Raw genomic sequence first — 21717 nt, 5'->3', positions numbered from 1 at the left:
TTGTCAGGTTTGTCAAAGATCAGATGGTTGTAGATGTGTGGTATTATTTCTGAGGGCTCTATTGTGTTCCATTGGTCTATATCTCTGTTTTGGTACCAGTACCATGCTGTTTTGGTTACTGTAGCCTTGCAGTATAGTTTGAAGTCAGGTAGCGTGATGCATCCAGCTTTGTTCTTTAGGCTTAGGATTGTCTTGGCAATGCGGGCTCTTTTTGGTTCCATATGAACTTTAAAGTAGTTTTTTCCAATTCTGTGAAGAAAGGCATTGGTAGCTTGATGGTGATGCCATTGAATCTATAAATTACCTTGGGTAGTATGGCCATTTTCACAATATTGATTCTTCCTATCCATGAGCATGAAATGTTCTTCAATTTGTTTGTGTCCTCTTTTATTTCGTTGAGCAGTGGTTTGTAGTTCTCCTTGAATAGGTCCTTAACATCTCTTGCAAGTTGGAATCCTAGGTATTTTACATCTGCAAACAGGGACAATTTGACTTCCTCTTTTCCTAATTGAATACCCTTTATTTCTTTCTCTTGCCTGATTGCCCTGGCCAGAACTTCCAACAATATGTTGAATAGGAGTGGTGAGAGAGGGCATAGCTGCCTTGTGCCAGTTTTCAAAGGGAATGCTTCAAGTTTTTGCGCATTCAGTATGATACTGGCTGTGGCTTTGTCATACATAGCTCTTATTATTTTGAGATACGTCCCATCAATACCTAGTTTATTGAGAGTTTTTAGCATGAAGGGCTGTTGAATTTTGTCAAAGGCCTTTTCTGCATCTATTGAGATAAACGTGTTTTTTGTCTTTAGTTCCGTTTATACGATGGATTATGTTTATTGATTTGTGTATGTTGAACCAGCCTTGCATCCCAGGGATGAAGCCAACTTGATCCTGGTGGATAAGCTTTTTGATGTGCTGCTGGATTCGGGTTCCCAGTATTTTATTGAGGATTTTTGCATCGATATTCATCAGAGATATTGGTCTAAAATTCTCTTTTTTTGTTGTGTCTGTGCCAGGCTTTGGTATCAGGATGATGTTGGCCTCAAAAAATGAATTAGGGAGGATTCCCTCTTTTTCTGTTGATTGGAATAGTTTCAGAAGGAATGGTACCAGATCCTCTTTGTACCTCTGGTAGAATTTGGCTGTGAATCCATCTGGTCCTGGACTTTTTTTGGTTGGTAGGCTATTAATTATTGCCTGAATTTCAGAACCTGTTATTGGTCTATTCAGGGATTCAACTTCTTCTTGGTTAAGTCTTGGGAGGGTATATGTGTCCAGGAGTTTATCCATTTCTGCTAGATATTCTAGTTTATTTGCGTGGAGATGTTTGTAGTATTCTCTGATCATAGTTTGCATTTCTGTGAGATCAATGATATCCCCATTATCATTTTTTATTGCATCTATTTGATTCTTCTCTCTTTTCTTCTTTATTAGCCTTGCTAGCAGTCTTGCTAGCAGTCTATCAATTTTGTTGATCTTTTCAAAAAGCCAGCTCCTGGATTCATTGATTTTTTGAAGGGTTTTTTGTGTCTCTATCACCTTCATTTCTGCTCTGATCTTGGTTATTTCTTGCCTTCTGCTAGCTTTTGAATGTGTTTGCTCGTGCTTTTCTAGTTCTTTTAATTGTGATGTTAGGGTGTCAATTTTAGATTTTTCCTGCTTTCTCTTGTGGGCACTTAGTACTATAAATTTCCCTGCACACACTGCTTTAAATGTGTCCCAGAGATTCTGGTATGTTGTGTCTTTGTTCTCATTGGTTTCAAATAACATCTTTATTTCTGCCTTCATTTTGTTATGTGCTCAGTAGTCATTCAGGAGCAGGTTGTTCAGTCTCCACGTAGTTGTTTAGTTTGGAGTGAGTTTCTTAATCCTGAGTTCTAGTTTGATTCTAATGAGGAGTGCTTTACTTCAAACTGTGTGATCAATTTTGGAATAAGTGTGATGTGGCACTGAGAAGAATGTGTATTCTTTTGATCTGGGGTGGAGAGTTCTGTAGATGTCTATTAGGTCTGCTTGGTGCAGAGCTGAGTTCAATTCCTGGATATCCTTGTTAACTTTCTGTCTCATTGATCTGTCTAATGTTGACAGTGGGGTGTTAAAATCTCCCATAATTATTGTGTGGGAGTCTAAGTCTCGTTGTATGTATCTAAGGACTTGTTTTATGAATCTGTGTGCTCCTGTATTGGGTGCATATATATTTAGGATAGTTAGCTCTTCTTGTTGAATTGATCCCTTTACCATTATTAATGGCCTTCTTTGTCTCTTTCAATCTTTTTTGGTTTAAAGTCAGTTTTATCAGAGACTAAGATTGCAACCCCTGCTTTTTTTTGTTTTCCATTTGCTTGGTAGATCTTCCTCCATCCCTTTATTTTGAGCCTATGTGTGTCTCTGCATGTGAGGTGGGTCTCCTGAATACAGCACACTGATGGGTCTTGACTCTTTATCCAATTTGCCAGTCTGTGTCTTTTAATTGGAGCACTTAGCCCATCTACATTTAAGGTTAATATTGTTATGTGTGAATTTGATTCTGTCATTATGATGTTAGCTGGTTATTTTGCTCATTAGTTGATGCAGTTTCTTCCTAGCATTGATGGTCTTTACAATTTGGCATATTTTTGCAGTGGCTGGTACTGGTTGTTCCTTTCCATGTTTAGCGCTTCCTTCAGGAGCTCTTGTAAGGCAGGCCTGGTGGTGACAAAGTCTCTCAGCATTTCTTTGTCTGTAAAGGATTTTATTTCTCCTTCACTTATGAAGCTTAGTTTGGCTGGATATGAAATTCTGGGTTGAAAATTCTTTTCTTTAGAATGTTGAATACTGGCCCCCACTCCCTTCTGGCTTGTAGAGTTTCTGTCGAGAGATCTGCTGTTAGTCTCATGGGCTTCCCTTTGTGGGTAACCCGACCTTTCTCTCTGGCTGCCCTTAACATTTTTTCCTTCATTTCAACTTTGGTGAATCTGACAATTATGTATCTTGGAGTTGCTCTTCTTGAGGAGTATCTTTGTAGCATTCTCTGTATTTCCTGAAGTTGAATGTTGGCCTGCCTCATTAGTTTGGGGAAGTTCTCCTGGATAATATCCAGAAGTGTTTTCCAACTTGGTTCCATTCTCCCTGTCATTTTCAGGTACACCAGTCAGACGTAGATTTGGTCTTTTCACATAGTCCCATATTTCTTGGAAGCTTTGTTCATTTCTGTTTACTCTTTTTTCCCTAAACTTCTCTTCTTGCTTCATTTCATTCATTTGATCTTCAATCACTGGTACCCTTTCTTCCACTTGATTGAATTGGCTACTGAAGCTTGCACATGCGTCACATAGTTCTCATGCCGTGGTTTTCAGCTTCATCAGGTCATTTAAGGACTTCTCTACACTGTTTATTCTAGTTAGCCATTCGTTTAATCTTTTTTCAAGGTTTTTAGCTTCTTTGCGATGAGTTCTAACATCCTCCTTTAGCTCAGAGAAGTTTGTTATTACCGATCCTCTGAAGCGTTCTTCTCTAAACTCATCAAAGTCATTCTCCATCCAGCTTTGTCCCATTGCTGGCAAGGAGCTGCGTTCCTTTGGAGGAGAAGAGGCGCTCTGATTTTTAGAATTTTCAGCTTTCCTGCTCTGGCTTCTTCCCATCTTTGTGGTTTTATCTACCTTTGGTCTTTGATGATGGTGACATACAGATAGGGTTTTGGTGTGGGTGTCCTTTCTGTTTGTTACTTTTCTTTCTAACAGTCAGGACCCTCAGGTGCTGGTCTGTTGGAGTTTGCTGGAGGTCCACTCCACAACCTGTTTGCCTGGGTATCACCAGCAGAGGCTGAAGAACAGCAAATATTGCAGAACAGCAGATGTTGCTGCCTGATCTTTCCTCTGGAAGTTTCGACTCAGAGGGGCACCCGGCTGTATGAGGTGTCAGTTGGCCCCTACTGGGAGGTGTCTCCTAGTTAGGCTACTCGGGGGTCAGAGACCCACTTAAGGAGGCAGTCTATCCATTCTCAGATCTCAAACTCCATGCTGGGAGAACCACTACTCTCTTCAAAGCTGTCAGACAGGGAAGTTTAAGTCTGCAGAAGTTTCTGCTGCCTTTTGTTCAACTATGCCCTGCCCCCAGAAGTGGAGTCTACAGAGGCAGGCAGGCCTCCTTGATCTGCAGTGGGCTCCACCCAGTTCAAGCTTCCTGGCCACTTTGTTTACCTACTCAAGCCTCAGCAGTGGCAGACGCCCCTCCCCCAGTCTCGCTGCCACCTTGCAGTTGGATCTCAGACTGCTGTGCTAGCAGTGAGTGAGGCTCTGTGGGCATGGGACCCTCCAAGCCATGCACGGGATATAATGTCCTGGTGTGCCATTTCCTAAGGCCATTGGAAAAGCGCTGTATTAGAGTGGGAGTGTCCCAGTTTTCCAGGTACCATCTGTCATGGCTTCCCTTTGCTAGGAAAGGGAATTCCTTGACCCCTTGTGCTTCCCAAATGAGGCAATGTCCCACCCTGCTCTGTGGGCTGCACCTACCGTCTGACAAGCCCCAGTGAGATGAAGCCGGTACTTCAGCTGGAAATGCAGAAATCACCCATCTTCTGCGTTGCTCACGCTGGGAGCTGCAGACTGGAGCTGTTCTTATTCGGCCATCTTGGAACCTCCTTCTGCTTTAATGTTATTATTGAAGAAGAGTACAGAAATAAAGATTCTCAAATTGTATTAAAAATTGCTTAGAATAATAAAGACCTAAGATCTAGATGTTTGGAAATTCCATTTCTGCCACCTTGCCCATTAAAAAAAAAGTAGTTCACCTTATTTTATTTTTGATTATTTTAACCTAAGTTAGATTGAGGAATCATACATACTATTAAATATATTAAATTTTCAGCCAAAATTTGATTCACTTTCCAGTTTTACTTTTTGTTACCTCCAACCTGTCTGTGCCTGAATTTCCTTGCTGGATTTAAACTCTGCACAGCTGATTTCAATGAACTCTTAGTAAGTTCAAAGAAGAGCGTCTATAAAAATGCTGTAAAGCAGCTGGGCGCAGTGGCTGATGCCTGTAATCCCAGAACTTTTGGGAGGTCGAGGCGGGTGGATTATCTGAGGTCCAGAGCTTGAGACCAGCCTGGCCAACATGGTGAAACCTGTTTTTACTAAAAATACAAAAATTAGCCAGGTGTGGGGCAGGTGCCTGTAATCCCAGCTACTCAGGAGGCTGAGGCAGGAGAGTCACTTGAACCCTGGAGGCAGAGGTTATAGTGAGCCGAAATTGTGCCACTGCACTCCAGCCTTGGTGACAGAGTGAGACTCCATTTAAAAAAAAATGCTGTAAAGCAGTTATTACTTTAAAACAATATGTAGAGGAGAACTTTGTGAATAAATAACAATAATTTAATAGCTGTGACCACTATTTTACATAAATTAAGTTTAGCATAGGCGAAAGTTGTAATTTTTTCAGTGAACTTTCTTTTTTTTGCAAAAAATTAGAGGAATATAAATCACTACAGTTGCCATTCCTCATCACATGTATATCACCAGTTTTCTTCTGTGATTTCAAAAGATGGATTAAATAACTGATCTGGGTGTTTTACAATGTATCAATGTGCTCTTATACATTAAAACATGAACAATCATTCTTTATTTTCTCTTTGGTTTTCACCATGGTTACACTAATGTAAGAAACAACATAATAGCCCTTAGACTACTATGGTACATAACATAGTAACAAACTCACATTTGTTTGAGAGACTGAAACCCTCTGCACATTTAATACTTTGTCATTATCTTTAGATACCACTTCAGGTTTTAATTAAATATAATTATGTTCCAGACGATGTGGGAAGAGTTATCCCCAGGAGCTGATAGCGTCTCTGTTCTAGGATGACTGATATAAAAAAACAGGAATTTTCTGTATTTATAATAATGATATTGTCGCCCAAGTGTAGTGGCTCACGCCTGTAATCCCAGCACTTTGGGAGGCCGAGGTGGGAGGATCACCTGAGGCCAGGAGTTTGAGACCAGCCTGACCAACATGGTGAAACCCCATCTTAACTAAAAATACAAAAAAAAATTAGTCAGGCATGGTGGTGGGCACCTGTAATCCCAGCTACTTGGGAGGTTGAGGCAGGAGAATCACTTGAACCTGGGAGGAGGAGGTTGTAGTGAGCCAAGATCCCGCCATTGCACTTCAGCCTGGGCGACAAGAGCGAGACTCCATTTCGAATAATAATAATAATAATAATAATAATAATGATATTGTTTTATGCAATTATTTATAATTGTATTTACTTATGTAATTACTATATAATTATTACTTATGTAATTACTTATTTCCTTTCTTCTTAACCTCTATTCCTCATTGCATATTCCAAGTGTATATTCTGCAAATGTGCCCAAGCCTCTACAGTAAGTCTATGACTTGAATTCAGTTCAGTTTTTATCAATTGAACAAGTATATGTTATCATGACTGGCCGGGACACATAGTTATACGAATAAAATTGTATGAGAGGCCAAAAGATCCCCCAGTTTCTAGAATTTACTGTTTAGTTGAATTAAATTTTCTAGTACTTGTTGTTCTGAAATATCACTTTAATTTGAGAAAACATCTGCACAGTCCTTTGGGGAAGTCAACTTAGATTAAATGCCTTAAACAACAAAACTAGTATCGGTGATTTAAAAATAAATGATTTGTGCTACCTTTTCCCAGTTCGAAGGAAGTGTAACCTATTGAAGAGTCTAGGATCCAATGTCAGGTACAAGTAGATTAAAATTCCAGTCTGACCACATAGGAGCTTTGTATCTTTTCACAAATTATTCAGGCTTTCAAAGCCTCAATTTTCTCATCTGTGAAATGGTAGTACTAAACAATTCTTACCATAAAACTCTGTTGAAGCAATTAGAGTTTATATCTATGTGTGGTTGCAAACCAATAAATATTATCTGTTCCTGTTCTTATGAACAATATGAGTGACAGTAGAGGGCAAATCCCAGATATACAATTTCAATATCGTTGATTTGTGAGTAACTGTCTTGTGAAGGAAACCCCCTGAAGAGTATAAAACTCTCTGTTTTGGCTCTGAAGGGAAGGAATACCCTCTTCCCAGGTTCTTCTGGTCTATAGATGCTTTTTACCAGGTGTAAAGTAACAGCCCAAAAGGTTTCAAATACTTTCAGAAGAGTGAGTAGTGCCCAGAGAGCTGATGAGGCAGGTCCAGTGGCATCTCTGAGCTGTCAGCCTCATGCCCATACTCTGCCAGTTGCCTGCTCCCTTTCTATGTTTCTGTAGCATATGCTGTAAATGCTTTGTGAGACTCTTGGGGCATAAAGTTTGCACTGATGGAAGCCTGGGTCAGACCAAACTAACTAATGAGTACTGTCAAAATTCCAGTTGTTATCTGAAATTCAATATTGACTTCCTTGTCAATGTTTTAAGGATACCTAAGAGCTTAAGAGACTTAGCTGTGCCTGTATCATGCTGTCTTTGTCTAAGAAAGTGCAGAAGAAGTTTTACTGAAGTATTTGTTCTGGTGCATATGATGAAACAAATTCTGGAATCAATATTAAAAAACACTGTATAGCTTGTAGAATTAGGTATAGCAAGTCTTGCATAAAACTGAAAAACAACCAAAAATTAAAAATAAAATTGGAGTTGGGGGGAATATATAGCAACCCTTTTGAGCCACATATACATCACTATATTACATCACAAAAATAACTGTTACTTCACTATTTTAGAAGCTCAGTCATTATTACACTATTTTTCCAAACCATCCATTGTAAAACTCAGAGCAAAGCTATCTGAGGAAGATTGTAAGCTCTTTTTTTTCAATCACAGTCTCTATAAACTAATGTACTGTACTCAAAACATAAATTGAAACAAGGAGGTAAAAGGGAAATGAACAATCAGTGTTTTCCAAATTGCTTCTTTGGTAAGAAATTGAAAAATACATTCATATGAATGTATTTAAAAAACAAAACAAAACAAAAAGGTGGAATGAATTGAAGAGGCAGAGCAGATCATAAAATAAAACTGGAAGTTTAATAATCTGCTACTTTTCCTTTAGACATAGAAAATGTACTTTATGAATACCTAAAAACATTATGATAATAGATTATTGCTGTTACGTATTATTCATACGACAATGGATTTATGTAATGTGTCTACATCAAGTAAAAGAGATTAACCAGAAGAAACTAACTTCAAAGTACATTGTCTTTTAGGTCTCCAAAGTAATAAAGATCCAAGCACTTCCCTTTTAGGGTATTTGCTCTGCATCATTTAGAATGCAGTTTCTTTCCTTCATTAGGCCCTCCATATGAGATAGAGCAAATCAGAGGCTACAGAAATAGAGATTTCTTCCTTGTACTGATAGTCTCAGATGTTTGGGGCTGCTAACCCACTAGTGGTTTTGTAAGCCTTATTCTACGTGATCCACCCATTTCTCAACAGCCGTGCAAAAGATTTTCCACCTTTGTTACAGTTTGACTACTATTTCCAAATAAACAACAATACAGTCAGACTTTGTAAAAGTGGATGTTTCATATAGAAATTTGGCCACGCTTCCTAAAATATAAGCAATTCTTACGTGTGAGTATCAGTTCATACTAAAAAGCTCTCCTGTGTACTCTAGTTCAACATAGCTCTGGTTGGAACGTGTAACTGTACTCGATAATTAGTTTTGTTAATAATGTCATGAAAACATTGTACAAATTTCAAGATGATAGATTTTTAAAATTTTGTCATTTTTAATTACTATGTTCAATTTTCCATGAAGCAACACTGAAATAAATAGCAAAACAAAACCAGTAACATGAAACATTTCCATAATTTGTGAAATGGAAATAGGAATGATATACACCTTGATTTTACTATGATGCAACTCAATGTGAAATACACGAAACCCTATGAGGACAAGTACCAAGGTGACTTACGCCAAAGAAAATTGATTGAAGTATTTCTATTTTGATCAAATTTGTTGTGTAAAGTTGTGCCACTGCAAAACTCTGGGAGTAAATCATAAAATGTATATTTTTATATTGAAGGTTGATGGGTAGAGCACTTTCAGAACAATTTCCTGTTGAGTGAGCAGTAGGAAGTTATAAGGTCCTCAACAGGAACAGATTGATCCATGCATAGACAGATCAAAGAAATATGTTTATTAAGTACTTCGTGTTCATCACAAAGTTCAATCTAGCAGAGATTTTCTGTTATATTGTCCATGTGGTGACTCCTTCACAAGCTTTAAAGTAATTATATTATTTTATTTTATCTTATTTTAAACTGACAGATATAATTGTATGTATTTACCATGCACAGTACAAGATGATGTTCTAAATATATATACATGGTGGAATGACTACATCCAGCTGGGTAACATATGGATAACTTCACATAATTATTCTTTTTCTGGTGAAAACACCTTATATCCATCCTCAACATTTTTCAAGAATGCAATATATTGTTAACTATAGCTACCACGTTGTACAATAGACCCCTTGGGCTTATTCATCCCATCTAACTGAAATTTTGTATCCTTTGATCAGTATCTCCCCAGTCTCCACAGTACCCCAACCATCCCTCGCCTGTAAACACAGCTTTTGCTCATTACTTCTATGACAGCAACTTCTTTACATTCTACATATGAGTGAGATAATGCAGTGATTGTCTTTCTATGTCTGGCTTATTTCATTTAACATAATTTCCTCCAGGTTCAGGTATATTATTGAAAATGACAGGATTTCATTATTTTTAATGTTCAAATTGTATTCCATTGTGTATATACATCACATTTTCTTTATCCAGTCATCTATTGATGGACACATAGATTGATTCCATATCTTGGCTATAGTGAATAATACTGCAATAAATATAAAAGTACAAATATCTTTTCAACATACTGATTTTATTTCCTTTGACTATATACTCAGTAGTGACATTGCTGAATCATATGGTAGTTCTTTTTTTAATTTTCTGAGTAACCTCCATACTGTTTCCCTCAATGGCTGAGCTAATTTACATTCCCAACAGCGTTTGAGAGTTTCCTTTTTGCCACATCCTTGCCAAGACTTATTATCTTTTGTCTTTCTGATGATAGCTATTCTAAGTAATAATGTAAATTAAACAATGATGGTAAAATAAAATTTGTAGATGACTGTTCTCAAAATATTTCCTCCATTTTTAAAAAAGGCTGAATAGTATTCCATTGCGCATATATATATATACATATATATATATATACATATATATATATATACATATATATATATATATATATATATATATATATATATATATATATATCACGTTTTCTTTGTCCATTCATCAGTGATGGACACTTACATTGCATTCGATATTTTGGCTATTGCAAATAACGCTTCAATGAACACACAGATTAGCCTAGAGAACATTATGCTAAGGGAAATAATCCAGGCACAGGAAGACAAAAACCACATGATCTCATTTATATATAAAATGTAAAAAAAAAATTGAATTCATAAAGCAGAGAGTAGAATGGTGGTTACTATGTATTGGGTGGGTGGCACCAAATGGAGGAATATTGATTAAAGGGTACAAGGTTTGAGTTAGTACAGGAAGAATAAGTACGAGTACTATATTCACATACTCACAATGTATTGTACAGTATGATGACCAGAGTTAATAATAATGTATTGCATAGTTGAAAACTGCTAAGAGAATGATATGGTTAGGCTTAGTGTCCCCACCCAAATCTCATCTTGAATTGTAATCCCCGGATGTTGAGGAAGAAACCTGGTGGGAAGTGACTGGATTATGGGGGTGGTTTCCTCCATGCAGTTCTCATGATAGTGGATGAATTCTCATGAAATGTGATGGTTTTACAAATGGTAGATTTTTCCTGCACTCTCACACACTTCTCCTTCCTGCCACCTTGTGATGAAGGTGCCTTGCTTCCTCTTCGCCTTCAGCCATGACTGTAAGTTTCCTGAGGCCTCTTCAGCCATGCTCAATAGAGTATCAATTAAACTTCTTTCCTTTATAAATTACCCTGTATTGGGCAGTTTTTTCTTTATAGCAGTGTGAAAACGGACTAATAAGAGAGTAAATCTTAAATATTCTCATTACAAAAAATAATAAAGATTAGTGGTGATATATATATGGTAATAAGCATTATTGACTCATTCCACATTGTCTAAAATAATTTTTCATTCATCAATTCAAAAAATGTAGTAGATTTCTACCTAAAGTTGGGCCACTATCAACAATACTATTTAATGTTCTATTGAGAGTATTAATAAAAGGAATTATAGAATCAAAATCAGAAATATAAGAATTAGAGGAGTTAAATTGCCCCTATGTAGGTGATATAGTAGTAGATCTAAAGATTAAAATAAAAGAAATAAAAAATCTACAAAGATATAAAATTAATATAAAAAATCTGTAACCTTTATATATAAAAATAATGTTAGGCAATATATTCTGGCTCTCTGTAAACAGTTATTAAAAACATATTTTTACAAGTCCTGTTGTAAACATGTTTTTATTTCTACAGAGTAAATACTTAGAAGTGAAACTGATGTGTCATAGGGTGACTATATGCTCAACTTTGTCAGTTATTACCCAAGAGATTCTCAAAGTTACATGATTTTTCATTCCAACCAGCAGAGTATGTGAGTTTAGTTACTTCACCTCTTCACCAACAATTGGTATTGTTAATCTTTTGTAATTTTAGCAATTCTAGTGAGTGTGCAATAGTATTTGATTTTGCTTTTAATTTACATTTAGCTAATAACTTATTACATTAAATGTTTTGTGCTTATCAGACATTTATCTTTGTAAACAGTGCAAATCTTTCCCCCATTTTTACTGTGTTGTCTGTTTACAATTGATTCGTATGACATCTTTATATATGCTGGGTACAACTGCTTTGTCAAAGATATATAGTGTGAATATTTTCTCCCATAGCTTAGCTTTTTCATTCTCTTAGTGTTTTTGTTTGTTTGTTTAATTCTGAAGAGCACAGGTTTTCCTTGTTTTGTTTTTCATGAAGCCTGACTGGTCTTTTTTTTTTTTTTTTTTTCTTTGTGGCTAATGCTGTTTGTGTGTTTCTATGAAATCTTTGCCTAGCTCAGGTCCAGGAAATATTCTTCTATATTTTCTTCTAGAAACTTTTGAGCTTAAGATTTTATATTTAGGTCTATGTGCCATCTATAATTACTTTTGTGTGTATGGTATGAAGTATCAAGATTTATTTTTTTCCTATATGGATACCAAGTTTTCTAGGTCTGGTGGTTAAAACAATTTTCCTTTCTCCATTACATCACTTTGGTGCCTTTTTGGAAGATCAATTGGCCATATCTGCGTGGATCTAGTTCTGGACTCCGTTCTGTTCTTTTAGTCTATTTGTTTATCCTCTCACTATCCTAAATAATGTCATTTAAAAGTAAGCCTAACACTGTGCTGCTGTCACTGTCCACCCAAATTTGATGGGCAAATTTAGGTAGAAAATGATTCTTTCTGTGAACTTTCAAGCTTCTGATACAAGCTGCAATATTCATGGATTAATTTACATGACAGCATAGGATAATGAATGAGAAAAAGCCCTTGGAAACAAACAAATATGAATTTGAATCCTATCATACAGGAAATCTTTTTATGTTTTTAAAAGTGTCATTTTCTTCACCTAACAAAGTAGGGATCATATTGTCAATCTTATAACTGTTTTGAGATATTTATTAAGATACCATATTTTTTTTTGTGGTCCAAATTTTTTATTATTATTATACTTTAAGATCTAGGGTACATGTGCACAACATGCAGGTTTGTTACATATGTATACATGTGCCATGTTGGTGTGCTGCACCCATTAACTCGTCATTTACATTAGGTGTATCTCCTAATGCCTTCCCTCCCCCATCCCCCCACCCCACAACAGGCCCCGGTGTGTGATGTTCCCCTTCCTGTGTCCAAGTGTTCTCATTGTTCAATTCCCCCAGTGGAGTCTTTGACATATATGGAGTAAACATAACATACCTAGCAATATAACACTATACTCATAGGCAGAGAGGGTGAAGATTATTTGTAGAAAACATGGACACAATTTTGAGTGCCTGCTCTATTACTTCTTCCTTTTTTTGTTCTGATTAGCGATGTCTTTCCTTAGATTATGTTATCAATGATTTTAATGTATCATGTTCTCCTGTGTATAATAGAATGCTATATTCTTATACATTACTATTTTGTGATTATAGCCTTTGTAATATAATAATTATCCACGTTCATCATTTTCTCATCATGTTGACAAATGATAAAAAACTTTATTATTCATGTGCATACCTTTTCAAGGTTTTCTCTTACTTCTGAATTTCCCAGCATAAAAAATAAATCAGGCGTGCACGTCTTTATCAGTAGGAAACAGAGCAATGTTACTTAGAGCATTTTCCCAATAGGTTTACTCTTTCATTACTATGTAATTAACCCCACATTGAGAATTCTATTGTGAATTCTTTTGCAGCAGCAAATTAAACATTTGAATTGCATACTATTATGTTTCTGTGAAAGTGACTATCGTGTCATTTTGAAACAGACGAGCAATGTTATGAGTAATGAAGAGTTTTCAGTAAAGTTTTCAATGATGCTAGACGACTTGCTCTAAGAGAAAATACTCTATATATTTCAAAGACCCCACCATAATTTCTGGCACAAAATCCATCAAAATCTAATAAAGTAGCTTAATTAGCATGATCATCGTCTTATTAATAATTTACTGGTTGGCAAAGGCTCTAATGGGATTATAATGCATCATTTTAAAAATAAAAGAACATCATTGTGATGCTCATCAAGGTGAGCACTATAGAAGTAAAATCTGCACTAAACAAATTTGGTATCTTTAAAATATAACTAGATAACCTGCCATTTCCTGATAAAGCACAGTCCTATAAGAGAGCATATTTTCTTTCTAGGAATTCTGCAATTCATATCTAAAAATGATTTCAAGGTAACCATTCTGACACTTTGAAAAATATATATATTGGTTCCTGATCAACAGGGCATATTTAAAATTTTTCCGTAAAATGGCCTGGTTTAGCAAATCAACAATAAATTAGCAGAAATCACTATCAATATTTAACATTAAAATCCTTGTCCACAGAAAATGAAATTTCCTAATGGACCTTAGAATATTTGTAATGTTCACTGTATATTCATAATGCATTTTGTAGACAGACAGTATAAAGAAGTCAACGTAACAGGATAGAGCAGATGTCTATTCTAAATCCTCCTTAGAGTCACTGAGAGTCTAGAGTGACAGGTGAATCTTTGATTCTAGCTGGCTAAAGGGATTGATAACAGAATACAGAGCCTGCAGTTCCTAGGTCACTAATTGAAATTTGATCCTGGTATATGCCTAGGGAAAAATAGAAGTGGGTAGGCTTCCTACTTTAATCATCTGCATTACGAAAGCCATTATTTTATGGATATGAGTGTCCTTCACATTCTAATATAATGCTGCTACAGCATGAAAAGACAGGAAAAACCCAGCCATCCACCTATAATGGCCTTTCACAAGACATGTATTTTAAATCTTGTTTGTTACTATGAATCTCCTCCAAACTGTCTGTAGTGCAGCGTGGCTCCAATTGGGCTGCACTGCCTACTAATTGATAGTCTTCTTACTTTATGAACTAAAAACAAGAGAGAGTGTGCTTCCTTCCCAATTAAACATAATTCAATCCCTAGAGACAATGCCACATTGCCGATCCAGTGCTTAACAACAGTATTTTAAAGAGAAAGAAGAATGATCAAATTCAAGCAAAGAAGAATTCCTGGCAATTGAATCACTGGGGCTTCAGCGGTATTTTGATGATAAAGAGAAGTGGTCACTTCCGGGTTATCATCTGTCTTAAATTAAAGTCTGTATTCAATGTTTACACAGCTTCTTTCTTTTAAAGACAGTTATTGTTTAGGAAAAAAACTAAAGTACTTGAAGCCCAACTAAGTGAACTGTGTGTTTGTTTGACAGAAAGACTTCGCACCATTAGTGAATCATTCACTAACGCAGCTGCCTGTCCTATAAAAAGAAATATAGACTATGCAATGTTGTTTTCTGAAAAAAGAACTCTACAGTGCATATAACAAGATCTGGATTAGACTTTACTACTTAGAAACTACTTAGGAAGAAATGTTTTCTTCCTCAGGAAAAGTTCATATATTGTTTAGCTATTAATAAATGTTTAAGGCATTTGCCCCCGAAATTTGATGAACCATTTTTATTAATAGAATCTTTCAAAACTTTCTAGCTCACTACTTTATAAATATTATGTCAAGTTAATTATTCAATGTCTTAGCCTGGTGGTCTTGGTGGTTTCTCAAAGACAAACGCATATGCTAAAATGCAGAGCCATCCATTAAAGAGAACAAATCCCTTTGCAATAAATAACTTCAAGGCAAATAATGTGGCAAATCTTGACAAGAATAAAGTATATCAATAATGATTAGGCCTACATTATTGAATTAATAGAATAGGTCAGAGGAAGATCAAAACCAAATTCAGTTATGTGTGTGTTTATCTCCTCCAATAAATGGCGAACTTCCTATGGCTGGGGACATAAATATTCTATGGCCTTAGTTTATCCCACTATATAATATTCAGCCCTTAATGAATGGTTACTGAATGTCTTGAAATATAATATTGAAATATCTTTAATTAGATGTGATGTTTGCATAATAAAAATCATCTGAACATTTAGTCCAAGTGTAAAAAATATTTTCAATTATTTAAAATCCACGATATTAAGTTCCTTTTAAAAAATAAATTACTACAGAGATCTTAAAATGATATGTTATACATTTCTTTCAACTGATTGGGGTTTAGTTGTACTCATCATTAATCTGCTGATATCTGAGCTGAACAATATTCTTAAAACAAAATATATCATTTAAAGGTTAGTGGTTTAAATTTTTATTGTATTTCTATTTTGTTTGGCAACTATTTAATAACAAATTGTATTACTGTAATTATATAATAAGTATGAAATTCTGTCCTAGATATTGAAAGTGCAATGCAGCAGACACAAACTCATGGCTGCTTCTGAAGGTGAAAGTCTGCTTCCTTTGTCCCATTTGGATGGCTGGATTTAGGTACAGCTGTCTTCAAAAGCTGATATACTAAAACACAATTTTTCTAGAGACGCGAGGTACAAATACATTGAATTTTAGAAGTAGAAATCAGTGTGGGAGTTTCTCCTCTGGGATTTTTTTCCTAGTCCATTCCTAGAAATAGAACTATATTGCTGTGGGACCATGGTCAGTAATAGGGGACAATTGGACAAGGAGAGCTGCTTACCATGCAGAAGGAAACAATTCTTATTTCTCCATGTACCTCCACTGGGAAACCGGCACACAGGCAATTTTTCTCACTCTATTCAATCCACATCAAGGACACAAAAAGACTTTGGTACTTTTCTAAATAATACCTTTCCCGAATGTCTTGCTGCAAAGATTTCTAATTGCCTGCCCAGTATCTACTCTTTTCCTTCCTTACTAATAGCACCCCAGTTTGGTTTGGGATAGTAATGTGCCCAGCTAAAATGTAGTATGTTCTCGTCTAATTTGGAAGTAAGAGAGGCCAGGTGCCATCATTCTAGCTAAAGCTGTTTAAAGAGAAGTCACTGAGTGAGGCTTTCAGGAAGGCTTCAAATGTGACTCAGCTGGTCACGCTTTCGGCCCTTGAATCTTCATTCTTTCTCTTTCTCTGATCATGGACACGGGGGATAGAGCTGTTGTCGCTTTCTTTCAATCACGAAAAATGGCCTAAAGCATCTCAGAAAAAGATGAGTTTCTGAATGTCAGGATCACATTTTGTATATTTATTTTGCAGAGTCACTGTCTGGGGGCTTTCTGTTGTATCTGACCAGTCCAAATTCCAACGTTTGGACAAAATTCATCAAATCCATCAACTGAGTTACATCTCTCCCACCATGAGCTACTGCCAACCCTGAAGTTTTGAAAAGTCATCTGGGACTTTCTTCCTGACATTTCCTTCCATTATACCTAAGCCCTTCCATTCACTGTTTCATTCTTTGTGTCACACCTTATTTTGTTTTATCATCCATTTAGCTGCAGTTATAAAGTCAAAAGCTGTTAATAGAAAAGTTGATGAAAGAAAAAATTAGTTGTACAAAAAAGTGGGATTTAGAGAGGCAGGAAGAAACAACACAACAAATAATAATGAGATAAATACACTTTCTTCATTATGTTTCTTTTATACCAAATTAACATGAGAGTATGAGTCGAAGTTCTAGAATGACATAGTCTCAGCCCTGAAATGTCAATGAATAACAATGGCTATAACAACAGCCCATTCAGCAATAGCAAAGTAAGCTAGAGTTTTACACATACACTCATCCACTAACTCAAAAGAGTAATTTTAGCCTGGGAACAGGAAGGAATGAAATTTTTTGTTGTTGTTGTTTGTTTTCTATTTTTTGTTTTTTAAATTTATTAAAAGTCTCAGGGTGCAGTAGCTCACATCTATAATCCTAGCACTTTTGGAGGCTGAAGCAGGCAGAAGGCTTGAGCTCAGGAGTTCAAGAGCAGCCTGGGCAATGTGGTGAAAGCCCCTCTCTAACCAAAATATGAAAATTAGCCAGGCACGCTGGTGCGCACCTGTGGTTCCAGCTACTTGAGGGGCTGAGGCGAGAGGATCACTTAAGCCTGGCAGGCAGAGCTTGCAGTGAGCTGAGATCACACTACTGCACTCCAGCTGGGGCAACAAAGCCAGGCCCCATCTCAAAATAAATAAATAAATAAATAAATAAATATTTTAGGAAGTCACAAAAAGCTTGTGTGTGGGGAAAGTGTGACACAAAGTGTAATTTTGCTTATTGAAAGTAAATTAGGGCTGGGCATGGTGGCTCACACCTGTAATCCTAGCATATCGGGAGGCCGAGGTGGGAGGATCACCTGAAGTCAGGAGTTCAAGACCAGCCTGGCCAACATGGTGAAACCCATATCTACTAAAAATACAAAAATTAGCCTGGGATGGTGGCACATGCCTGTAGTCCCAGCTACATGGGAGACTGAAGCAGGAAAATCGCTTGAACCCAGGAGGCAGAGGTTGCAGTGAGCCAAGACTGTGCCACTGTACTCCAGCCTGGGTGACAGAAGGAGACTCCATTTCAAAAAAAAAAATAAATTAGAATTTAGATCTATGATACTCTAAAGTAAGAAGACTGTAAACTTATTGTAGAAATGTTCGTATTCATTACACAGATTATTTCAGGAAACACAATACCATTAACTAATCTATTTAGGAGAGTAGATATTTGAAAACATTCTAATATGAAACATAGTATTTCAATACCACAGGAGGGAAAAGCTATAATGCAAGTCATTCTGAAAAGAATTTCAACATTTTATACTTCTGGAGGTTATGTCATTTAAATAAAAATAAGTTTATAGGAGTGACAATCAGAAGACTGGACATAATTTTCTGGAGACTCAAATGAGACAGCGTAATTTAAATGTGACAAGGTTTTAGAAATGAGGTTTTTGTCCTTATTCATGGAAAACTAAAATTTTAATAACTTAACATCTAATTTTAGGCATATCATTAACAAAGTCCAATCCATTATTTCTGTTTGCTCACTTGCGACTTCAGAAGAAGGTGAGTTTCAGTTCTTTATTTTCAAAGACTTTTAAACTGGCATAATAAAAAGAAAATAAAATGTGAAGAAAAATGTCTTGAGTTTTCAATTTGGAAGGAAATTTGAAAAGTCAAACAGCAATGAAGTCATTCTTTAGGAGGTGCAGAGAGGGCCACAACATAGAGCCACACAGAGTGATTCCAAGACCACCATTGACACAGATAACAATGGCAGCCTAGCAATCCATCATCCTGTAACTTCATGGCTCTGGATTTGGAAAATCATTTGAGAGGCTTGATTTTATTTATTCCCTAAAAGGAAAAATACCAAAAAGGCAGAGTTCTTAAGAAACTAACTATGTACTTCAGTCATACTAACTACTGGATGCCTTTCTAGACATTGGACTTCTTTTTAAAAGTCATTTTCTTACATTGAAACATTTCTAAAATGGGCTATAAATACATATTTCAAATTTTACAATATGATAAATGTAAACACTTTCCTTCCTGTCTCTCAATTTGGGAATAATCAAAATTTGGCAGTCATAGTAGGATGGCTCTCTCTTACCATAAACCAAAAGATGTATTATTTTACACAGAATTAGAAGAGAACCCAATTAGGGTAATACGAAGTGAAAGTTTACATAGATCGTAATCATGTAATCTATTTCTAAGGTTTGTTTTCTGCTCATAAGTGGTAGAGTGAATCACCCTTGAATTTTAAAAACAGGGAAATTAGATTGGCTATCAATAGATTTTTCTATCTTTAATTCCTCCCTCTCAACTGTTTCCTTCTTGTTAGAAAGCTTCTTTCATTCCTGTATAACTGCTCTTTCATGAAAACTTGGGTGTTCTTTATTTTTCTCTTTTCTTTCATAGACACATTTGTGTTAGGGATCATCATGCCTGTGTATAAAGTTTGTACCTTGCACAAAGATGCCTCACTGAAGGGGCAAGTGTCTGTCTGAAATTTAGTCCACATGCTGTCCACGAAGTTGTGAAAGACAGTGTCTCCCCAGAGGAAAAGAATGAGGGGAGTGAAGAAAGAAGCCCTCTCTTCACTAACCCCTGAACTTTGGGGCTACATCTGTTCAGGATATGGAAGGGCAACTTTTTCTAATTCATGCAGACCTCTTATCATCTAGCAGCAGGCCTGCTCTTATTAAGAGTTTCTATTCACATTGCAAATATTTCTAATATATTCAATGGAGTGCTTATTGTGAAAGTTAATTGCAATATGGTGAGATGTGGGTTAATAACAAGGAAATACAAAGCAAACTCAGTATGGGCAAAGTTAAGAAAAAACAGCAGAAGTCATAGCAGCTGTCAGTATCTCTGAAATACCAACAAGCAAATCAATACTGAGCCCTCTTTGAGATCATCTTTCCTGGTGGACTATAATATTAAATATTAGTAACCTAAAGGCTATGAGTCTTTAATAATGCTTACTAAATTTATTTTGTAAATTTACCTTGAGTTGCACAATATTTGAATTTTACATTTTTCTTATATGGAATGATGCGTGTCTTACAGGAATTTTCAAGTTGCAACTTTAGTGAAAATGTAATAATGCCTAATGAATTATAAAATAAAAGGAAATCAGATTTTTAACTTCATCAATAGAACTCAATAACATTATTTTTAATGCTTGAAAAGAAAACCACCTAAAGTAGGAAAAAATAAGGTTGAGTTTTCTTGAAAGGTACAATCTTACAATTAATAAATAATTCACAAGTGAATCTAAAACTTTTAATTATGTAATTGTTATTTAAATATAGAACACTTATATACAAATGTTAAAGAAAATGAAAACTATATTTCTTATAGTGTTTCACCATCAACCTAGCTTGCTTCTTGACAACCAAGTAACAAATGGCTACCAGAACAATCTGTCCCTCAGCCTGAAGTAAATCCATAAAAAATACAGTCTATCTACACACAAAATTTAAACATTGTTTCAATGCAATAAAAGGATAGTGATCTACACGAATAATATATTGATATGTAAACATTCAAGCACCACCACATTAGAAGACATAATCAAGTAGTCAGATGTTTTACTCACACCTAGAATCACCTTCAATATAACAACGACAAATGTAGGCTGACACACAGGTGCCCTTTGTGCCACTTAGACACCATGAGCAGCATTGGTATCTGTGACTTTCTGAAATGGTGAAAACAGTTGTGACCTGAGCAAAGTACGTTTCCTCCACTGACACTGTAGTTATATTTAGAAAATTAGTGCACATTAAAACTATGCAATATACTTTGTATCTACATACAAATTTGAGTTTGTTTCCAGATTCAGAAATTTGTAAAGAGATTTTGCAATTGCACAAACCTACAGTCACTGGGTGGTGGGAAATTCTTTGTAGGGTAGGCCAGACGTGCAGATTGCAAGATGTTCTAGTGGTTCCGATTTTCGCCCTCTAAATGTCAACAGCCACCACCCCCTTCATAATAATCCAGAAAATCACCACAGTAAATTTCCAAAATATTCCCTTTGTTTCCGCTATGAAAATCTCTTCCTTAGAGGGAAGAGAAAAATCACTGATTCTTTTTCTTTCTTCGCATGGTTGTTTGTGATGTAGAGAGTAAATTGCATGATGGGATTTAAGTGAAGATCCATTATCAACAAAATATCGTTTGTCCCTATCAAGAACTGAAATCCAAGCATTTATTAACTACCCAAAAGAAATAATGAGAGATGCTGTCAGTCCTTCAGATTTTTCAACCTCAAGCCGAACACTTGAAGTACAAATATTTTAATGGCTAAGAATGAGAATTAATATATGAGAATATATTTTAAATGCTCTGTCTTAGTATCTACCTAATTATTTCATTCACCATAGATCTTCATGGTATGGTTCTGAGACTTTACTTGCCACAGACATTAGATGCCTCAGGACAGACACGTGTGGCAAAAGTGTGATGAGGGAGCATGGCAGAGGATGGCATCAGTGTGCATGAATAGGAGATGGACAGATGAAACTTGAGACATTGAACAGGAAGAAGACTCTGCCATCAACCCTGGGACTGTGCAAGAACCCTACTACTTCTTTATCTACTCTTGAAAACACAGGATGATATCTCATTTTCTCTTTTATAAGTCGTCTGCTGTAGTGAATTGTTGA

At 36.0% G+C, this 21717-nt stretch overlaps 1 protein-coding gene across 2 annotated transcripts in view, besides 1 other annotated feature; it reads right to left on the bottom strand.

Annotated features, from left to right (window-relative positions):
• Positions 1 to 21717, bottom strand: part of CNTNAP2 (contactin associated protein 2) — a 2304198-nt gene that overhangs the window by 2259103 nt on the left and 23378 nt on the right. The window lies entirely within an intron of this gene.
• Positions 234 to 778: an enhancer, noted in NCBI's record as "OCT4-NANOG hESC enhancer chr7:145858210-145858754 (GRCh37/hg19 assembly coordinates)". NCBI's record gives its function as "activates a minimal SCP1, AML or CMV promoter by ChIP-STARR-seq in primed H9 embryonic stem cells {active_cell/tissue: H9 hESC(primed)}" and the evidence as "EXISTENCE:reporter gene assay evidence [ECO:0000049][PMID:30033119]".

Source organism: Homo sapiens, chromosome 7 (assembly GCF_000001405.40).
Source record: "Homo sapiens chromosome 7, GRCh38.p14 Primary Assembly".
Taxonomy (NCBI): Eukaryota; Metazoa; Chordata; class Mammalia; order Primates; family Hominidae; genus Homo; species Homo sapiens.
Note: the sequence above shows the minus strand (reverse complement) of the source record. Positions and strands in the feature narration are given on the sequence as shown.